We start from the raw sequence: 19,539 nt of genomic DNA, 5'->3' as shown, positions 1-19,539 counted from the left end.
AATTGATTTGTGCTGGAGTCAAACTTTCTTCTGACCTCACAGACCCAGGGCAGCAGCTGGCAGGGGCCAGGGACAGAGACTGGAGATGCCCAGTGTCGGTGCAGAAATGCTGCCTGCACAGCTGCTGGGCACAGGACAAACCCACATTGGGGCAGGGTTTGTGGGGGGCCACTTGGGAGACCTTTCTGGAGACCCCATCACCACCCCAGGCATCTGATTCCTGATGCTTGGTAAAAAAAAAAAAAGGGACAACATTCATCTGGGGACAAGCTTTTCCATCAAGGTAGCTGGAGCTCCGTCAGAACATGGTCAAACAGTCCCTGGCCCCTTGCAGACTGAGTCACACACCCCAAGCCCAGCGTCCAGGGACACTCACCAGCAGATGAGCCCGGCCACCACGGCCGTCCAGGTGATGCAGCAGGAGTGGTGCTGCTTGGTCTGCACCGCATCGTCCCGCCGGCAGTGGCATGCACAGACCAGGTAAGCCACAAGGAAGATGAGGTTCAGGCCCAGGCAGACGGCGGCCACCAGCCCCAGGAACAGCAGCGACTGGAAGAGAGCAGAGGCCTGTTGTCACTCTTCATCCCTGCAGTGCGGGGCTCTGGAAGTGCCCTGCCCTTGGGCCCTGAGTGCCCCACTGCCTGAGCTGCATCTCTCGTCCATCCTTCCAAGCTCCACCTAGGGTTCAAGCTCCTACTCTGTAAACAGAGGGCCCGGCGCTGAGGCACTTGGGTGGGAGTGATGGAGCTTACAGGGCATGAGGCCAAGTGGTGGGCCTCGTGGTCAGTGAGGGAGGGGTGCCAGAGCTGGTCTCCGGTTTCTGGTTCAGACCCTGGATGAAGATACGGACCAGGCCCTGCTGATGAAGAGTCCGAGCCACTCAGGAGACAAGGCAGGAATCCCCAGCTAGCAGGGAGGGCTGTGGGTGGTGAGCTCCATGGCCAAGGGAAAAAGGCAAGGAGAGGGATACCGTCCAAGACCAGAGTACCCAGAGGCCTCGGGCGCTGAGTGCCACTGAGGCAGGGCCTGGAAGGACAGCCCTGTGTATCTGTTGCCTCTTCCATGCAAGGACCCCGCTGTCCCAGGCTGGGCATCATCCTCTACCAGAATGTGAAGAGCTTGTTCTAGGTGTTGGGGTCCATCCTGAGAATCGAGAAGCCAGCTCCATGCTTGGGGGATGTGTGAGGGGGCGGGATAGTCAGGATATGCAACTTCTGGAGTCCCTTCCACTGCACCCCACCAGGGACAGCTGAACCTCCAGTGCCAGAGGCAGCAGCAAAGCCAGAATTCTGAGGGGGCCGGAGGGGCCTGAGGCCTGCCTAGCACCTCGGGGCCCTGCAATGGGAGCCAGTCTGTCAGGAGGCCTGGTGCCACTCTCTGCTCATTCATCTCTTGATTTTGCCAGATAGGCACCAGATGGCACCGGGATTGGCGGCCGCCAGCCAGGGCTGGACCTGGCTCTAAGTCAGGCTCCTGAGCTGACAGCCGCCCCTGCTTCCCATGCACCCCCAATAGGGGTTCCCAGTCCCGAATCCCTAGTGCTCTGGGGGTGCTGCTGGGGAAAGCCTGTTTCAGGGAGTCCTATGCAGGGGGTGGCAATCAGCAGGAAGGGGGTACTCCAGGACCCTGCGGTCTAAGGGGGAGACGAGACTTGTGCAGGGACAGGCACACACAGAGATAGACCTGACAAACCAAGGCCGGGCTCTGCAGTCTGGGGCTTTGGGGCCATTTTCCAGGGGGACAGACACCTGCTGGAGGCCACGCTGCCAGCCCTGTGAGATGCGGGCAGGTCTTCGGGCCTCTGACATGGACTGCTCTGCTGGTCACTCTTGGCTGACAGACTTCTCAGCTGAAGTGATGGGGGCAGCCCAGAAAAAGGCAGGAGAGATGGCTCACTTGGGAGGGGAACAGATGGATTTGACTTTGGAAAATGTGGCTTTCCGCCAGGTGTGGTGGCTCACGCCTATATCCCAGCACTTTGGGAGGCCAAGGTGAGAGGATTGCTCGAGCCCAGGAGTTCAGGACCAGTCTGGGCAATACAGGGAGACCCTGTCTCTACAAAAAAATAAAAAATAAAAAATTAGCTGGGCATGGTGGCATCTGCCTGTAGTCTCAGCTACTCAGGAGGCTGAGGTGGGAAGATCGCTTGAGACTGGGAGGTTGAGGCTGCAGTGAACCATGATTGCACCACTGCACTCCGGCCTGGGTGACAGAGGGAGATCCCTTCTAGAAAAAAAAAAAAAGTGGCAGCTGGGAAGCCAGGGCCCAGTAGATCTGGGCACCTCCCTCTCCCAAAGACCTCACAGTGTGGCAGGGGGCTGGGGCTGGGGCTCTCCCCACCTGGACCACTCATTAGCATGGCCTGTCCCCGGGACTGACCCCAGCAAGCCCAGGGATAGAAAGAGATGGTGGAAAGTCACTGCCCCTCTTCTGGTCCTCAGTCCATGCCCCTTCACCAGAGGGCCCTGCAGCCCAGGCCCAGGCAGAGGAGGCCAAGACAGCTGGGAGTTGAGAGCCTCTTTCCTTGAAGTAAAGTTTACCACCCTGTGACCTGTGGCCCTGACATCTTCTGGGAGCTTGTTAGAGGTGCAGAATCTCTAGCCCCGCCCTGGAGCTAGTGAATCAGACCTGCCTCTAGAGATGATCCCAGGCAACATATATTCCATTAAAGTCTGGGCAGCACTGGATTAGTGTCAACAGAAGTTCTCAAACTTTTTCCAGTAGCTTAACTTTTTCTTCAAACTGACTTGCTTAGCAGAGCCCTGCAACACAGAGCTCCATCTGAGTGAGGAGTGGATAGAAATGCCACGTTCTGTCCTGGCCGCCCCTTGGCAGCCCCTGAGGCCTCTCTGCTAAAGCCCAGGGATCCTCTTAATCATTTGCAAACCAGCGAGGCCTGGTGGCATGCACTTGCAATCCCAGCTACTGGGGATGCTGGGATGGGAGGATCACTTGAGCCCAGGAGTTTGAGTCTAGCCTGGGCTAGGCAACATGCTGAGATCCCATTTCTTAAAAAAAAAGTAACCCAACCTCCCAAAAAAAACCCCAACCAAGCCAAAAAAAAAAAAAAATTGCAAATCATTGTGTAACATGCATGCCATGACCCAGCAATTCTGCTTTACAGAAAGGAGGGCTGTGTCCCTCAGAAGATACACAAATGTTCACAGCAGCTTCACACAGCAGTCACAGCCTACACCCAAAAAGACACAAACGTCCACCAACAAGAGAAAAGATATAGAACATGTGTTATAGTCTTAGAATACTATACAGCCATGAAAAGGAAACCAGCCACACATGACGGTATTTCTGGGATGAATTTCCCAGAAGTCAGGTTGAGAGAGAAAGCCAGACATGGAACAGCAGAGAACTGTATGGATTAATTTATATGAAGTTCAAAGTCAGAGATACTCATGAGTAGCCAGAGAAATGTGAATCACCGAATCATTGCTACCTTTGGGAGGGTGCGGATTTCAAGAGAGCACGAAGGGGGCTTCTAGGGGGTCAGGAATACGATCTGATTGGGATGGTGTTGCTCACACACACACATACCACGCACGCAGGTGCTCGAGGGTATAAATTCATTGAACTGAACTGCACACTTAAGACTGCACTCTTTCCTGTAAGTTATTCTTTTTTTTTTTTTTTTGACACGGAGTCTTGCTCTGTCGCCAGGCTGGAGTGCAGTGGTACAATCTCGGCTCACTGCAACCTCCGCCTCCCAGGTGCAAGGGATTCTCCTGCCTCAGCCTCCTGAGTATCTGGGATTACAGGCATGTGCTACCAGGCCCAGCTAATTTTTTTGTACTTTTTTTTTTTTTGAGACGGAGTCTTGCTCTCTCACCAGGCTGGAGTGCAGCAGCGTGATCTCGGCTGACTATAACCTCCGCCTCCCAGGTTCAAGTGATTCTCCTGCCTCAGCCTCCTGAGTAGCTGGGATTACAGGCATGTGCCACCATGCTCAGCTAATTTTTTTGTACTTTTACTACAAAAGGACCAGGCTGGTCTCGAACTCCTGACCTCAAGTGATCCACCTGCCTCGGCTCCCCAAAGTGCTGGGATTACGGGCGTGAGCCACGACGCCCAACCAAGTTATTCCTAATAACACAAAAATGTAAGGGAGCCCCAGACAAACCTGTGTAGCCTGAAGCCCAGTTACCATCCAGCCTGCCCCCAGCTACCCTTTGAGTTTGCCTCCTGAACAGTCCCACTATCATTTTATCCCCAGTGGGAAAAGCTCCTGAATCTACCAATGTCCCCACCCAGCAAGGAAGGCTCGTCCGAGAAGGATCAGGCTGTGGGTGATGTAGCCTGCTCCCCCGTTTCACTCTCTCAAGCCTCCTCCAGCCTCCCGGTCTCCCCCTTCGGCAGCCGCTGAGCCCCTGTGGCCTGGGGCCTCTCCAAGCTGGGCAGCTGGCCTCAATTAGGTTTCTGATAATGCTGTCCAGCTCCAGTGAAAGCGAGGCCTGAGAAACCCAAACTCGGAGGCATTTTTTTTTTTTTTTGATTTCCTTTTTTTAAAAAAAAATACAGACAGGCTCTCACTATGTTGGCCAGGCTAGTCTTCAACTCCTGGGCTCATGTGATCCTCCTTCCTTGGCCTCCCAAACTGCTGGGATTACAGGCATGAGCCACCCTGCCCAGCCTTTGGAAGCCTTTTGTTAGGGAGTTACTTCCCAAACCCTCCTGGGAACCCTACCTAGGTGCTGGGAAAAAACTGGGGGTGGTGGGTGGGACAGGGTGAGAGGGTGTAGGGGGAAAAGGAATTGGGAAGGGAAGAAGAAAGAAGAGGGAAGGTGGGCAAGGGAGGAGGAAGGAGGAGGGAAAAGAGGAGCAGGTAGGAGCCCACCCCCCTCCCCCTAACCAGCAGCACCCTCTTCCAGGGCCAGCTTGGTGGCACCTGCTGCTCCTAATGGGCAATTATTTTCTTGCTCCTAATTAACACTGCATGTCCCCATGTGCATGGAGGTGGAGGGGAATGGAGGAGGGAGCCAAGAGTTCTGCTTCCAGGCCCCCCTGCTCAGATGGACAGAGCTTTGCCAAGACAATTTCCCACGCCTCCCCACGCCTCCCACTGTGCCCTGCAGCCACCTCCTTGTCCCACAGCAACACCAGGCCCCCAGCTCCCACACTGGTGCTCAGACTCTGCCTCTCCCCTCATCAAAGGGACTTCAATTATTTCTGATTTGTCACTGTGTCATGAAAAACCCAGAGCGGAGAGTGCCAAGCTGGGACCCAAGTTGGGGGCCGCAGTGACCATGGCAGCGGGACCCAAGGGGCTTCTGCACTGGGCAGGGGAGGGGGCAACAGCCCTGGCCCCAGAAGACATAGAGAGAGGTGTGCCGGTCTCAGGGGGAGGCTGGGAGAGGGAAACTAGGAGCACCTAGAGGGAGAGTCTCCCTCCCAGGCCCACTGGGAAAGATTAAGCCCTCTCCCAGGCGCGGCATGACTGTCTGATGACCGTGACTCAATTTCACACTGGATGAATGGGGCTTCCTCATCCCAACCTCAGCTCTTCTCAGATCTCGGCTGGGATGGGCTTGCTGCCTGGTCCTTCTTCCTCAGACCTGCCCCCAGGTCAGAAGCAGGAAGTCCTGTAGTTCCGGTCCAGTCCCCAACTGTGTACCCTCCACTTTGTACTTTGGCGAATCTATGAACGGAACCAACCAATGAGAGAACACGTGGAAATACATGCCTAAATACAAAAAAAATTAACAACATCTCCTCTGCCTCCTAACACATGTCCCCAAAGAGCAGCTGGTCGGCTGATCCTGGGCAAGGGAAGCTGGAACAGGAAGCACACATGTGGCCACCTGCCTGTTGACAGTAGCAATAACTAACATTTGCACAGCCTTTGGGAGCTTACTAAGATGTTTCAAGAACTGAGCTCATCAGTGTCTGGTCTCCCCTGAGGGGCTGGCTGGATGGTGATGGTGGCACTCACGCTCAGGCAGGGACACCGAAGTGCCTCGTTCATTTGCTCAGAGAGACATTGCTGGATTCAGTGCCAGGTGCCCATTCCCTTCTCCCCAACACTGCCCAGTGGACACCGGCTGGCTGCAGTCTTCTCCTTCCTAAGCAGTGATTGTAGCAGTTTCCAGTGTGCCAGGCACTGGCCACAGGCTTCATAATCCATGAACTCATTAGTTCTTTTATCATCTCTTTAGAGTAGGAATCGTCTCCAAATCCAATCCCCCTCATCTGTCAAAGGTGAGAAGACTTGGGCTGCAGGTCTAGGCTGATTTCCTTCCAGACATACAGCCACATCTGGCAGCCCAGAGCTGGGTGCCCGCCAGGGCCAAGGTGCCCTCGTCCACAGCCCTGCCTTGGTGCTCACCTCTCATGCCTCTACTCACTGGAGGGTAGCCTCCCCACAAGGCTGGTGACACAGGCCAAGTGGCCTTTGCGAGGACTTGGGCTCAAGTTCACTGGGGGGAGAGGGGTGAGGATCAACTATCAGGAGGACTGGGGGCTTTCACGGCTCCCAAACACCCCAGAAAGTGAGTGAGAGCCCCTACTTCCTCAGGAAGGTTCTGGAACACTGAACTTGCTCAGGAAATCCCAGCTCACCAGGTGACCTGCTCTTCACCATCTCTGCACTTCCAAGAACCCCCTTGCCTTTGAGATCCCCCGCACCACCCACATCCTAAGGCCAGCACCTGCCTGTTTCCATCCTTGCTTAGTCTCTGATGCACACGCACCCACCCCCCACACCCCACACAGCCAGCACTGTGCATTTGAACATGTGGGGCATGAGCTGAAGCCCTTTCTGCAGGCGTTTTGTTCAGTCTCCCCCAATCAGAGTCTGTGGAAGAGATCTCCTTCCTCTCCATTCCCCAGCAGGGTACTGTCCTGAGACACACTCCTGAACCTCTCAGCCACTCCATTGAATGATCTGTGTCACTGGCTCCTGTTATGTGCTATGGGACTCTCTGTACTAGGCATGATATGTGGAATATCTCATCTAATTCTTGCAGATGAAGGGAACAAGGCTCAGAGAGGTTAAGACACCTACCCGTGGTCACACATGGAAAGAACTGGGAATCCACCCCAGCCAACTGGAGGGCAGAGCCCCACCTCAAACTGCTTGGTGTCTGCCATAGCACTGCGCCCAGAGCCCAGCCGCAGAAAATCCCCAGCAATTTCTCCTGAAGACCTGCTGCCTTGGTTACCACGGTCACCCCACGCCTGGCATAGCACTTGCTCCAGTCAAGCTTGCTGAAGACTGGGATGACCGACGGTCCACCTGACTCTGTTAGTGACTGGTGCTCAGGAGGAAAGAAGACATCCAGGAGAGACCTGTGGTCACAACAGGGGAACTTACCAAAAACAGGAGCCACCTTAAATAACACCCAGAGCCAGACTTCCGGTCCTGGCCCACCACGCTCATCTCCTACTCAGCGATCTGAGTGGTGGTGAGGGGGTGAGCGGGACCAGGAGCCAGTGGGCAGGGCTGGTGTCAGCTGCCCAGGAGCAGTGGCCGATGGGAAGGGACACCCTCTGGAACCATTTGATGCCCAGCACAAAGTGAGCCGGGGCCAGAATCCTGGGAGGAGGGGCAGAGGCTGGAGGTAGGTTCATCTGGCTCAACTGCCACCTGCCCATGGGACTGAGGGGGCTGTGGGCAGGCCCAGGATCCACCAGCCACAGCTGTTGGGCTGATAGGAACTGTCTCTGGGGCCATCAGGGTGAGGGAGTCCCCTTACCATCCCTACCCCCACCTAGGGGTCTTCTTGACCCAATGAAAAGTTTAGATTTCCTCCAGTGGAGAGGAGAAAACTATGGCTGGAGACCCCGGGTGTGGGATGTGGGGCACAGGGTTTGGGATGGGGACACACACACACACACACACACACACACACACACGGCTGTTTCTGAAATCATATCCGCCTCTTTTCATGCATTCTCTGGGAGAGGAAGATTCCCTGGAGCTATCCCCAGGCAGCCACATTCTCAGGGAACACAGACTCCCACAGGCTGGGCTCTGGGGGAGGGGGGTGGGTCCACCGACTGCCGTCTTGCTCCTGAGTGCCCACTGAACCCCAGGAAGGGGTCCTGATGCTCCCCTCCCTCTGGTAGGGCAGGCACCATCTGCCTGGGCCTGATGGCAGCCGGGTCGTCAGGGGTTATTATTAGACTCCCTGTCACTGGCGCTTGGGCACCTCACACTGGATCAGGATTCCCTCCAAGAGGCCCTGCTTTGCCCTGATCTGTCCCATATCTGGAGAACTTGACACAGGGAGAGGCCGCCGGGGGCCAAAGTCCTGAGATGGGCGCCTGGCTCTGAATAAATGGACCTCATCCTGGTCCACTGGCCCCAGAATCTTTGACCCAACACAAGGAACTGATACAGGTGGGCTCCCGGGGCCAGAGCAGGCGTGACCAGACCTGAGACGGGCTGGGAGATTCTGCAGCTTTGTTTGTCTGGGCAGGGAGGTCTGGGGAGCCCTGGCCCTGTTTGTGGGGTGCAGAATCCTGCCAAGGGTCAGCAGAGTAGGGAAAGGGCGGGGAAGCCGGGAGTGACTGCCCTAGGCCAGAAATTCAGGGCTTAAAGGTGTGAGGTAGAGAGAGGGGCGTGGGGGAACAGGAATGGGCCAGTCTAGGACCAGGGGACACAGAGAAGCTGACTGTCAATGCAAGGGGGTCCTCAGGACAACAGTGTGAGATGGGCTGACGGAGGCCACCTTCCTTCCCTGGAACAAGCGCAAGCAGCTGTGGGTTCTCTGCGCTAGAGGGGAAGTGACCCACACCGCTTCCCCAAGCCCTGCAGCCTTCCAGCTGAGACTCCCACCCTGCAGGCCGGGGCTGGGGAGGAGGGGTGCTGCGAAGACCGACTCGGGAGACTCTACTCAGTTTCTGCCAAACTTTCCTAGGCCACTCAGCCCCGGAAAGAGAGCGCCCCATCTTGGAATCTCAGACGGTCGAAAACTTCGGGGCACCCCTCAGCATCCCCGCACCTCGCGCGCCAGGATTACCCCGAGACGAATGCCCCTGTCCTTACCCCTCCCCCGCGCCGCCCTGCCCGCTCAGCGTTCAGCCCCTCACCCCGCAGGCGGTCTTGCGCCCTTCCTCCCCTTCCCCACGCTCGCTTCACTCTGATCTCTTCAGTTTTCCCGGCCCCCAGGTTCCCAGACAGGAGGGGACGCGGGCCACGGGCCTGGGAGGGTGGGGGAAAAGGGGAGAGGGGAGACGGGAAAGGGCTGCGCGGGGAGAGAAGGGGTCTGAGAGGCACGTGGGAAAGTGCAGGCTCTCGAGGGGAGAGGGGGTAGTGCGGGGACTTGGGGCGCGCGTGGCTGCGGTCTGGGGCGGCGTAAACTTACCTCCTGGTAACTCTCGTCGCCGGGGCTGAAGGTGCTGTTCACGGGCTGCAGGCGCAGGCCGACGTGCGGGACGCTGTGCAGCCACACGACCCACCAGGGAGCGATGTAGTCCACGCGCGCCGCCTGCATGGCTCGGCCCGAGTGCTACCCACAAGCTGAACGACAGCTGCGCTCACCTCCCGGCCGGGGCCCCGTGCCCGCCCCGCCCCCGGCCCCGCCTCTCCCTGGGCCCGCGCCCGCCCCGCCCCGCCGCGATCCCAGTCCCAGTTCTGGGCGCGCAGCCCGCTGCAGTCAACAGCCCCTTTCTGGGCGGGGATCTGTCCTGGCCGGATGGGAGGAGGGAAGTGAAAAAAGCTCCCAGAAGTCTCTAAATCAGTTTCAGTCTCGAGGTCCCCGGGCTGCTTCTTATTTATGATCAGATCAAGGGTATAAGGTGTCAGTGGGGGCAGCCAGCAGTCATAGGCCAGAGAGGGGCGACTGCCCGTCCCAAGGGCTTGTCACAGGGTAAGTAACCGACAGACTGGGAAAGGAAGGAGGCAATCTTCAGCCACTCGGTCACTCATTCTAAATTCACTCTCATTTTTTGGGCATCTATTGTGCAAGCCCTGTGGACTTAAAAAGAGAAATAAGACGCCGTCCCTGCCCTCGGGAGCTCCCGGCGCATCTGCCCCAACAACTCGCTGAAGCCGCCTGCAGGACGCCTGAGTGAGGACAAGGTGTCTCACTCAGAAAATTTGCTTGATTCTTCCTGGCAAGTGGGACAGGGTGAGCTTCCCGGAGGAGGGGACCTTCGAGCTGTGTAGCGGGGAAGGTAGGAGAGCGATGAGAGCGCCCGGAAGGGACAAGCATTCGGGGAGACTGAAGCGCATTCAACAACATATTTATTGAGCACCTACTACGTCCAGGCACTGTTACATCGGTGATGTAACAAAAGCCGACAAAAACCCTCACCCCGAGCGCAGGCACCGCAGAGGGCGATGACGACCCGAGAAGATGCCGAACGCAGGCCAGGAGGGGGCTCTGGGGAAAAGCAAAGGCAGGGGAGGTTGCCCATCGGGGAGCCTCGCGTCCCTGGGCCCTCCGTACTCTGCACATATGCAGAGGCCCCCACCCGTCCTGTAACCGCAAACTGCTTGGCGTGACTTGGCCAGCGGAGGGAGGAGCCCAGGCTGCAGGACAAGCAGGAGTCAGGGGTAGGTGCGGTGGAGTGATGGGGTCGCGGCAGATTGGGCGTGGAAACCGCGCTGGGCAGCCAGCCTGAGGGGTGCGTATCCACCGCGGCAGGGACGCGGGTGAGAAAGGAGCCCCGGGAGGACGGGGCGGGGCTCCTAGGGTTCTGGCTGAAGGGACCGGGTGGATGCGGACCGACTGAAAACGCTCGCAAACACATATGGCTGCTGGGGAGTGGGGCCCCAGTCACCCGGTGCTCAAAGGCCCTGTGTCCATTAGAGGAAGTCCTGGCCTCGGGGCCTCTCCTCGTGGCCGTGATCCCACGGTTCTGGGGCCCTGCAGGAGCCCAAAGCTGAGGGGCCCGGAAGGCTGGAAACAGCCATTCTTCTCTCATTGGGGTGTCTTTCAACAAATTTTCTTGAGCACGTTCTCTGTTCTAGAGGATACAGTAATGGATAAAACACACGTTCCCGCCTGCATGGCGTCTACAGCCTAGTAGGCGAGGTGAGGTGGACTTGTATCCTGCAAACAGCGATTGCAGGCCTTGTGAAATGTCAGAGTCCCTGCTGTAGGGAGAGGGGATGGAAGGTGGGCGTCAGGGTTGTTTCCCAAAGGACAGTGACATGAGCTGAAGGATGATCGGGAGTCAAAGAGGGGGGTGCTGGGGGAGGCCTCTGTGCAGAAGGAACAGGACCCTGTGAGATCAGGGACTAAGGCCAGTGGAAGGGGAAGCAAGCAAGTTCCAGAACAGGACAGGGAGCCGGAGAACTGCAGGAGCCAGGCGATCAGCTTGGAGACTGCGGCAGGGGAGGGAACTTCTTTGGGTGAAAACCTCCTTTTAAAAGGTCTTGGTCTCTGACTCAGTCCCTGCAGTTGCTGGGGAAAGTGGACTCTTCTGGTAGCTGCTTTTACAGCCCCTGCCCTCAGAGGCCCCCCAGGTGGGAAGGGCCTGCCTCCTAGGCAGTGGGTGGTCACCGAGGACTGACTTTGAACCCGGGGCAAGGGAGCCCCAGAAGGCTGGAGGCCTGCACACGGCACTGGAAGAAACAAACTGCAAAGGCTGTCCCTCAGGGCTATCTCCACAGCCACCGGAATGCGGCCTGGAATATCCAAACCTGTCAGCCCACCTGCACCCAGCCAGACAGCGACCATTCTAGCTGCTTCCCCGGAGGCCTGCTGACCCAGAGAGGTGTCAAAAAGCTGAAGCACAACAGACAGACCTCCCACAGACTCAGCAGGGAGTTGGAGGACAGTCGGCACACCAGCAGCTGTAGCCCATCACCTCCCCCCTCCCCATTCACCTGGTATGCAGCACTTAAGGGCTTGCTGAAGCCCCAGCAAAGCAGAGGCCCACCTGAGAGCTTGGAAACACACCTATGCCCCAGACCACCGCAATCGCAATCTCCAGTCAGCCCTGGCCACCACAGTGAACTGCCTAAGTGCCCCAGATGACTGAGTCACAAGCCAGGGCTGGGAAGCACTGCATGAAAGGCGGCCTTCTCTAGACAAGGCTGGACACACCCCTGCAAGGCCTGTCTCCTAGGAGCTGGGATGAAACTCTGGACGATGTGCTGGGAACAAAGAAAACCCACATGGTAAAGGCTCGCTTTTCCTTGGGAATCTGCAATGCTTACAGAACGGGAAAGGCTGAAAGCCGCCCACAGTGCCGCACCTGGGCCTGAGGGCTGGTGTACCCACCCTCTCCCGGAGGAAACAAGACCCGTGACCAGACTCAAAACCACCTCACACCCTCACAATCCTTACAGAATATTCAAAGACTGGCACTTCAACCTTACAACCTGAGCACGTCTAAATGCCTAACACAATACCAAGCACACTGTATGCCACGCTTTTAAAAGGTAGAGATCTTAAAAAAACAAAAAACACTACCTCGGGTATGAAGACAGATTTTATGATGCCAGTCATTTCCAGAGGGGCTGCCCGCTGTGGCACAGCACCACCTGGTGGCCACCCCAACCCATGCACCTCCCCCCATCCCAGTACCCTGACAGCAAGCCAATGAAAGAGGTGTTAATATGGCTATTTTCCAACTGAGGAAACAGGCAAAAGTGTAGTCATTTCTCCAAGTCAGTCAAGTTAGCGAGTGGTAGATGTGCTATACCTTGTTGCACCCATTTTGGGACCTGTTTGAATGGCATGCCCCACCATCGCTCCCACATCTGCCAGTTATGTTTAACCCCACGTGCTATTTCCATCATGGCCTCCCCACATCTTATTTTCAAACAGGCTGAAAACAGATGGCCTCATTTGCCGACTGAGATCATGCTCAAGATTAGGGATGCACCGGGCACGGAGGCTCATGCCTGTAATCCCAGCACTATGGGAGGCTGAGGCAGGCAGTGAAACCCTGTCTCTACTACAAATACAAAAATTGGCCAGGCGTGGTGATGTGTGCCTGTAATCCCAGCCACTCGGGAGGCTGAGGCAGGACAGTCGCTTGAACCCAGGAGGCGGAGGTGGTAGTGAGCTGATATCGCACCACTGTGCTCCAGGATGAGCCACAGAGCAAGACTCCGTCTCAAAGAAAGAAAAAAAAAAAAAAAAAAAGACACAGGAAGGCAGCAACAGAACCCGCGTCCTGTTCCCATCAGAAGCCACTACGAGGTAGCATTTTTCCCTTTCCCATCCGCAAAGACGAAAGACACTTAGGATTTTTAGTATTTTAATATAATACAGTTCCAATCAGTGTGTCTGGTTCATTTCAGTTCCTTCACTGCCAAACCTAGAGGGAAAGAGACAAAAGTAAGCCATCCAGAAGACACATCTGAGTTGCTGCTGCTTGTCTAAATTTTGTACTTAAGCTAAAGAGAGCACACAAGGTTCAGAAATTAGATCCACCAGCGAAGTTTCGGTTAAAATATTTAGTGTTTGATAAAAAGACTTGGTCTATTATATTCGATAAAAAGACTTGGTCTATTATATTTCATCTGTTCCCCTGTAAAAAATGGGGACTATCAGTACTAGCACCAACCTCGAAGGGTCGTGAACAGGATTAAATGAGCTCTAACCGCTCTTCTGGCTAAGGAAATGATTTCTGGTACTGTATATAATCTGAGAATCACAACTATTCCTCACACTCCCAACAGCAAGAGCAGATTCTTAGACCATAAAATGGGCTCTGAAATCTGAGAGGGATTCAAAACAAGATACAACATGGCCACACACAGCAACCTTCCAAACCCCACCCGCCCCTGAAGTGACTTCAGGCTCACTCACCGGGGGGCAGGGACTGCTTCAGTTTCTCTGCCTTCTCTTTGTCAGTGATGACCAGGGTGTAAAGGTATCTGCTGCATCGAACTTTAAACTTCACGTTGTCCTTATTTTTCTTGATCTTGACAGCTACCGGAGACCAGAATCAGGAATTAAATTGTATCACAGAAAACAGATGTGACACAGTCCATGTGCAAATACACTCAAGCAGTAAGCAGCATGCAGGAGACAGCACCCACCTCCAGTACCATCCCTCTGTGCAAACAGAAAACACTATTACCCGTTCCTCCAACTTGGGACTTTTATTGGGTACACTGAACACAACATTACAGAATATCTTCTATCAACCTTATTATCTTTCTTATTTCTACTTTGTTTTTTGAGACAGAGTCTCGGTCTGTTGCCAGGCTGGAGTGTAGTGGCGCAATCTTGGCTCCCTGCAACCTCCGCCTCCCAGGTTCAAGCGATTCTCCTGCCTAAGCCTCCTGGAGTAGCTGGGATTACAGGCGTGCACCACCACACCCAGCTAATTTTTTGTATTTTTAGTAGAGATGGGGTTTCACCATGTTTGCCAGGATGGTCTTAATCTCTGGACCTCGTGATCCGCTGGCCTCGGCCTCCCAAAGTGCTGGGATTCCAGGCATGAGCCACCGCACCTGGCCTATTATCTTTTTAAAAAGGGATAGAAGCAGTGATAAAGTAAGGAGACGGGCTGTCTGCTGGGACTGAGCGCTTTTCAGCACTCCACTCCCGGAAATCAGGCCTCCGCATGTGAGATGACATTCTGGGCCAGTAAGAGCTCGTTCTTCAGGATGCCTCCAGCCACTGCGCACAACACGCACCCAGGGTTTTCCTTGAATTTATGTGGAATCCATTTTCTGGGTTCTTTCCTGCTGCCAAGTTCTATTTCAGGATCATGGCTCAGACAAGAAACAGCTACTGTGTACCTCAAATTCAGCTGTGTGGGGTTTGAATCGTGCACCACTCTGGTTATGTACTAGCAGTATCAATGCATGGCCATCTGGCTGCTGTGAGACAACCCCTTCCCAGGAGTAGTTACCACTCCATGTATTCACTGAATGCCTTGTTCCAACTCTTTAAAAACTGCTCAGAGATACTCCCAGGATTTGTTATAATAGCAGTGATGTGCCAATCAAGAAGCAGGTGGCTGAGGGCTGAACATGGGCTCTAACACTTCAACGAAAGCACCTGGCCAGACACAGCACACAGCACTTAACCTGGCAGACGCACACAAGATGATCTTGTCCTAGCAATTCGGCAACTCCATTTCTGCCAGTAACTACTATAGGAATGGGGCACATCAGAGGAAGCAGCACTGTGACTCAGAGCCTGCCCAAGGCACGGGCTGCCTGGACTCTCGTTCTTAATACATCCAGACACCTGGATATTCATCCAAACTAACCTATTTCAGTATAACACTGCCCCTAGCAGCTGAACTAAGCTGAACACCACTTGTAAAGACATATGGAGCTCTTCAAAATGTTTATTCAGTTGGGTGCGGTGGTTCACGCCTGTAATCCCAGCACTTTGGGAGGCTGAGGTGGGTGGATCACCTGAGGTCGGGAGTTCGAGACCAGCCTGACCAACATGGAGAAACCCCGTCTCTCCTAAAAATACAAAAATTAGCCAGGCGCCTGTAATCCCAGCTACTCAGGAGGCTGAGGCAGGAGAACATGGGAGGCAGAGTTTGCAGTGAGCCAAAATTCCGCCACTGTACTCCAGCCTGGGCAACAAGAGCGAAACTCCATCTCAAAAAAAAAATAAATAAAAAAAAAGTTTACTCAACATTGCCATATGTGCAGCAATTCCATTTCTAGGTATATACCCCAAAGAACAGATAGCAACCACAGAAGAATATTTGCACACACATGTTCAGAGCATTATTCACACTAGCGAAAATGTAGAAGCAACCCAATGTCCATCAATAGACGAATAAACAAACCGTGGCCTACCCACACAATGGAAAACTCGGCCTTCAAAAGAAAACTCCGGTCTGGGTGTGGTGGCTCCTGCCTGTAATCTCAGCACTTTGGGAGGCTAAGGTGGGAGGACTGCTTGAGGCCAGGAGTTGGAGACTAGCCTGGCCAACACAGATCCATCTCTAAAACACCAAAAATTAGCCAGGTGTGGTGGCGCATGCCTGTAGTCCCAGAGACTCTGGAGGCTAAGGTGGGAGGATCACTTGCGCCCAGGAGATCAAGGATGTAGTGAGCCATGATCACACCACTGCACTCCAGCCTGGGCAGGAGTGAGACCCTGTTTAAAAAAAGCAAATTGCAGGCCGGGCACAGTGGCTCACGCCTGTAATCCCAGCACTTTGGGAGGCCAAGGCAGGTGGATCATGAGGTCAGGAGATAGAGACCATCCTGGCTCACTCGGTGAAACCCCGTCTCTACTTTAAAAAAAAAAAAAAAATTAGCCCGGCATGGTGACAGGCGCCTGTAGTCCCAGCTACTTGGGAGGCTGAGGCAGGAGAATGGCATGAACCTGGGAGGCGGAGCTTGCAGTGAGCTGAGATTCCGCCACTGCTCTCCAGTCTGGGCAACAGAGTGACATTCCATGTCAAAAAAAAAAAAAAAAAAAAAAGAAAGAAAAAACAGAAGGCAATTCTGACACATGCTTGAGGACATGTGAAGAGAAGCCAGTCACAAAAGGTCAAATATGCAATAGCAGACCCACTTGTATGGGGTATCCAGAGCAGTCACATTCAGGGACAAATTGGAAGGTGGTTGCCAGGGGCTGGGGAAGAATGGGGAGCTGGTGTTTAACAGAGGGAGTTTCAGTTTGGGAAGATAAAGTTCTGGAGATGGGCGGTGATGGTGGCAGCTGCTCAACAATGTGTATTTACTGAATGCCACTGAACTGTACAATTATGCTTTGTTGCCCAGCCCGGAGTGCAGTAGCATAATCGTGGCTCACTATAGCCTCAATTTCCTGGATTCAAGCAATCCTACCTCAGCCTCCTGAGTAGCTAGGACCACCAGCACACGCCCGGCTAACTTTTTTCTTTTATAGAGACAGGGTCTCACTATGATGCCCAGGCTAGTCTCATCCATCTGCCTCAGTCTCCCAAAGTGCTGGGATTACAGATGGGAACCACCATACCCAGTGTAAATGGTAACTTTTACGCTATGCCTATTACACGTTAAAAATTAATACAACCATTTTAAAAAGTTTTTTCAACAAACAGCTACTGACACTTTACTGTCCCCAGGGGACTGTGACCACTACCTTTAAAGCCACATCATCTAAAATGAAGGTTCCCAATTTTTTTTGTGAGACAGTCTCGCTCTGTCACCCAGGCTGGAGTGCAGTGAGACAATCTCAGCTCACTGCAACCTCCGTCTCCTTGGTTCAACTGATTCTCCTGCCTCAGCCTCCTGAGTAGCTGGGACTGCAGGCGTGTGCCACCATGCCTGGCTAATTTTTTTATTTTTAGTAGAAATGGGGTTTTGCCATGTCGCCCAGGTTGGTCTTGAACTCCTGGTTCAAGCGATCTGTCCGCTTTGGCCTCCCAAAGTGCTGGAATTATAGGCATGAGCCACCACGCCCGGACCACCACCCTTTTAAAACACAATCAAACGGTGGTGTCGTGTTTAACTTGCTGAGAAGGGTAAGTTACCTGCAGGTAGAGTTGGGCTTCAAACTAGGCAGTGACCCCATATGGTCTGAAATAAAACTGACCTGATAACCTCATCTCTTTACACAAAACACTAGCCAACAGTCATCATTCCCACCAGATGCTATTTGTCCCCACAGGTGGTCACTACCTCAAAGGTGACAGCCTGTTTTGGGTAATGGGGACACAAATATGACCCCCATCTCTGCCTACCCCCAACTCATTGAAAGACTCTCCCTGTACACCAACCACCGTCTGGCACCACGGCTGGCAGAGCATTAGAGACGGCTGGTGTCTTAGCCCACCTTAACAGGCCTGTCCCATGCAACCTCACTTCCACATGTGACCTGATTCTCAGTCAGCTGAAAAAAGATGACTGGGTTAAAGTAACAACATAACTCAAGACCTAGCTTGTATCAAACACAAGCCCCCCCAATCTCCTTCAAGTATCACAAAGGAGTAACACAACTACCTCTCACACTTGGTGTAAAAATTTAAGTAAGTGGGCAGCAGAGATTGGCACCTATCCATCGAAAACCTGCTGTTTAAGGTTTTTCATTAATCACCTTCTTTCCCCTGTATGTACAAGCTGGGAAACAGACCTATGACAGTCCAACTTAAACTCTGTGACTTTACAATGGTGGTAATGCGATATACATTCAGTAGAAGCCCTGCTTCAAATTTTGATCTTGGCGGGGCACAGTGGCTCACACCTGTAATCCCAGCACTCTGGGAGGCGGAGGCAGGTGGATCATCTGAGGTTAGGAGTTCGAGACCAGCCTGGCCAACATGGTGAAACTCTGTCTCTACCAAAAACACAAAAATCAGCTAGGCATGGTGGCGCGCCCAGCTACTTTGAGGCAGGGGGATCGCTTGAACCTGGGAGGCGGTAATTGCAGTGAGCCAAGATCGCACCACTGCAATCCAGCCTGGGCGACAGAGCCAGACTGTCTCAAAGAAAAAAAAAAATTTTTTTAAATATTTTTCTGGATTAGATAGGTATGATACCTTCTGACACTGGCCAGCGACCACAGGATCACGAGGTAAACGACCATACTACACAGTGTGCCGTGCTCGATACATTACATGCAAATATCCAGCACTTTATTACAAAATGGATTTTGTGTTAAGATTTTGCACAACTGCAGAGAACCTAAACAGTGTTTATGGGACGTGTGTTTTGAGGCTTTCGCGGAGTGGAGATTCCGTTCCGACAATTTACTATATTATACGAAAGAAAACTGAACTCAGGGCGGCCTCTGAGATGATCGCGATTAGCTAAAGATGGTCCTAGAAATTCCAGGGCCTCAACGTGCCCCCCACAGGTCTTTCTCATGGGAAACAGGATGAAACCACTGCTCCCAGAGGGCCAGGCACACACCCAGACGGCCTAACCGTCTCCTGCCTGACATTCCGGGGAAGACGCTCCCGGAGCGGTGCCAGGCTAGGCACCGCTCTTCTTGAACCTTCGGAGCAACCACTTACATTTGGCATCCTTTCGTCGGGCTGTGAGCAGGAAGTCCTTGATTTCCTCAATTTTCCGAGGCTGCAACACAAAGGAAGCGGGTGAACAGAGAGGAAAGAGACACGTCTCCCGGCGATGGCCCAGTCCACCAGCTTCTCCCGGCCTCAGGAGATCCTTGGGAGGCTCTCTCGCCCTCGCCCCGGGGCCCCACGAGCCCACCCCGGGAAGGCGCCAGGCAGGGACTGTACTCACCATGGCGACGAGGCGCGCTGGGCTCTGGCGCGGACCAGGACCTGCGGGAAACAGTCCTCGGCGTTAACACGGCGCGGGGGCTGGCAGCGAACCCCGTTTTCCCGCTCTCCCCCGAAATATCGGCCCCATCGCACTCCCCTTCTCCTCCCCGACACCCTCCACGCGGACCTGGGGTCCCCAGATTTCACCTGGCAGTGGATTGCCCCAGATTACCTTTCTCACCCACGTATCACCCTAGAGACACTCACAGCAAGCAGCAACCGGGGAAAAGGACGAAAAAGAACGAGACTTCCGTTTCCGGGCAGTTAAACCCTCCCAACGGAGGAAACTGGGTACGGTGCCTGCCGAGGATCAAGACTCATGTAGGCGTTCGCACTTCCAATTTCAGCAGCCCTGCCCCCTTGTGGTCGAAGTCAACAGTGCAGCTCCAAGAATGGAATGGACCATCCTGGCTGCCGCCCTCC

General features: G+C 54.2%; 2 protein-coding genes and 1 long non-coding RNA gene across 5 annotated transcripts in view, besides 5 other annotated features; 1 reads left to right on the top strand and 2 right to left on the bottom strand.

Annotated features, from left to right (window-relative positions):
• Positions 1-9,463, bottom strand: part of TTYH2 (tweety family member 2) — a 48,450-nt gene extending 38,987 nt beyond the window's left edge. Inside the window, exons 1-2 of one of the 2 annotated variants that reach the window (NM_032646.6) lie at positions 9,318-9,463; positions 377-549 (exon numbers count right to left, since the gene is read on the bottom strand). In NM_032646.6, the coding sequence (NP_116035.5) occupies positions 377-549; positions 9,318-9,446 (302 nt within the window). In that variant the 5' untranslated portion in view covers positions 9,447-9,463. Of the gene's footprint in view, positions 1-376; positions 550-7,321; positions 7,405-9,317 lie in introns of those variants that run through there. The other variant, NM_001330453.2, reaches the window with a different exon arrangement.
• Positions 7,119-7,168: an enhancer, noted in NCBI's record as "active region_12702". NCBI's record gives its function as "activates an Ori minimal core promoter by ATAC-STARR-seq in GM12878 lymphoblastoid cells {active_cell/tissue: GM12878}" and the evidence as "EXISTENCE:reporter gene assay evidence [ECO:0000049][PMID:35858748]".
• Positions 9,427-9,586: a silencer, noted in NCBI's record as "silent region_8927". NCBI's record gives its function as "represses an Ori minimal core promoter by ATAC-STARR-seq in GM12878 lymphoblastoid cells {active_cell/tissue: GM12878}" and the evidence as "EXISTENCE:reporter gene assay evidence [ECO:0000049][PMID:35858748]".
• On the top strand, positions 9,713-13,054 carry MGC16275 (uncharacterized protein). The gene is made up of 2 exons (NR_026914.1): positions 9,713-10,510; positions 11,352-13,054. It is a non-coding gene; the product is annotated as an uncharacterized protein MGC16275 (long non-coding RNA).
• Positions 12,379-19,356, bottom strand: RPL38 (ribosomal protein L38). 2 transcript variants are annotated; one of them, NM_000999.4, is made up of 5 exons: positions 19,289-19,356; positions 19,076-19,116; positions 18,844-18,904; positions 13,725-13,847; positions 12,379-13,230 (listed from the first exon to the last, which is right to left on the bottom strand). In NM_000999.4, the coding sequence occupies exons 2-5, from the start codon at positions 19,076-19,078 to the stop codon at positions 13,205-13,207; spliced, it is 213 nt and encodes a 70-aa protein (NP_000990.1). In that variant the 5' UTR covers positions 19,079-19,116; positions 19,289-19,356; the 3' UTR covers positions 12,379-13,204. The 2 variants fall into 2 exon arrangements, with proteins under 2 accessions (NP_000990.1, NP_001030335.1); NM_001035258.2 differs by having other exon boundaries at positions 19,324-19,356.
• Positions 12,492-12,541: an enhancer, noted in NCBI's record as "active region_12701". NCBI's record gives its function as "activates an Ori minimal core promoter by ATAC-STARR-seq in GM12878 lymphoblastoid cells {active_cell/tissue: GM12878}" and the evidence as "EXISTENCE:reporter gene assay evidence [ECO:0000049][PMID:35858748]".
• Positions 17,600-18,103: an enhancer, noted in NCBI's record as "H3K27ac-H3K4me1 hESC enhancer chr17:72201070-72201573 (GRCh37/hg19 assembly coordinates)". NCBI's record gives its function as "activates a minimal SCP1, AML or CMV promoter by ChIP-STARR-seq in primed H9 embryonic stem cells {active_cell/tissue: H9 hESC(primed)}" and the evidence as "EXISTENCE:reporter gene assay evidence [ECO:0000049][PMID:30033119]".
• Positions 18,104-18,608: an enhancer, noted in NCBI's record as "NANOG-H3K27ac-H3K4me1 hESC enhancer chr17:72200565-72201069 (GRCh37/hg19 assembly coordinates)". NCBI's record gives its function as "activates a minimal SCP1, AML or CMV promoter by ChIP-STARR-seq in primed H9 embryonic stem cells {active_cell/tissue: H9 hESC(primed)}" and the evidence as "EXISTENCE:reporter gene assay evidence [ECO:0000049][PMID:30033119]".

The sequence above is a fragment of the Homo sapiens genome, chromosome 17 (genome assembly GCF_000001405.40).
Source record: "Homo sapiens chromosome 17, GRCh38.p14 Primary Assembly".
Lineage (NCBI taxonomy): Eukaryota > Metazoa > Chordata > Mammalia > Primates > Hominidae > Homo > Homo sapiens.
This window is presented reverse-complemented; position numbering and strand designations above follow the sequence as displayed.

Bases quoted from the DNA above. Each gene is read 5' to 3' on its own strand.
- RPL38 (NM_000999.4), bottom strand. The intron at 13,848-18,843 runs GTAAGTGGTTGC...GGTCTCCGGTAG, and splicing joins CCGACGAAAGGATGCCAAAT to CTGTCAAGATCAAGAAAAAT. The intron at 13,231-13,724 runs GTGAGTGAGCCT...CTTTCCCTCTAG, and splicing joins GAAGCAGTCCCTGCCCCCCG to GTTTGGCAGTGAAGGAACTG.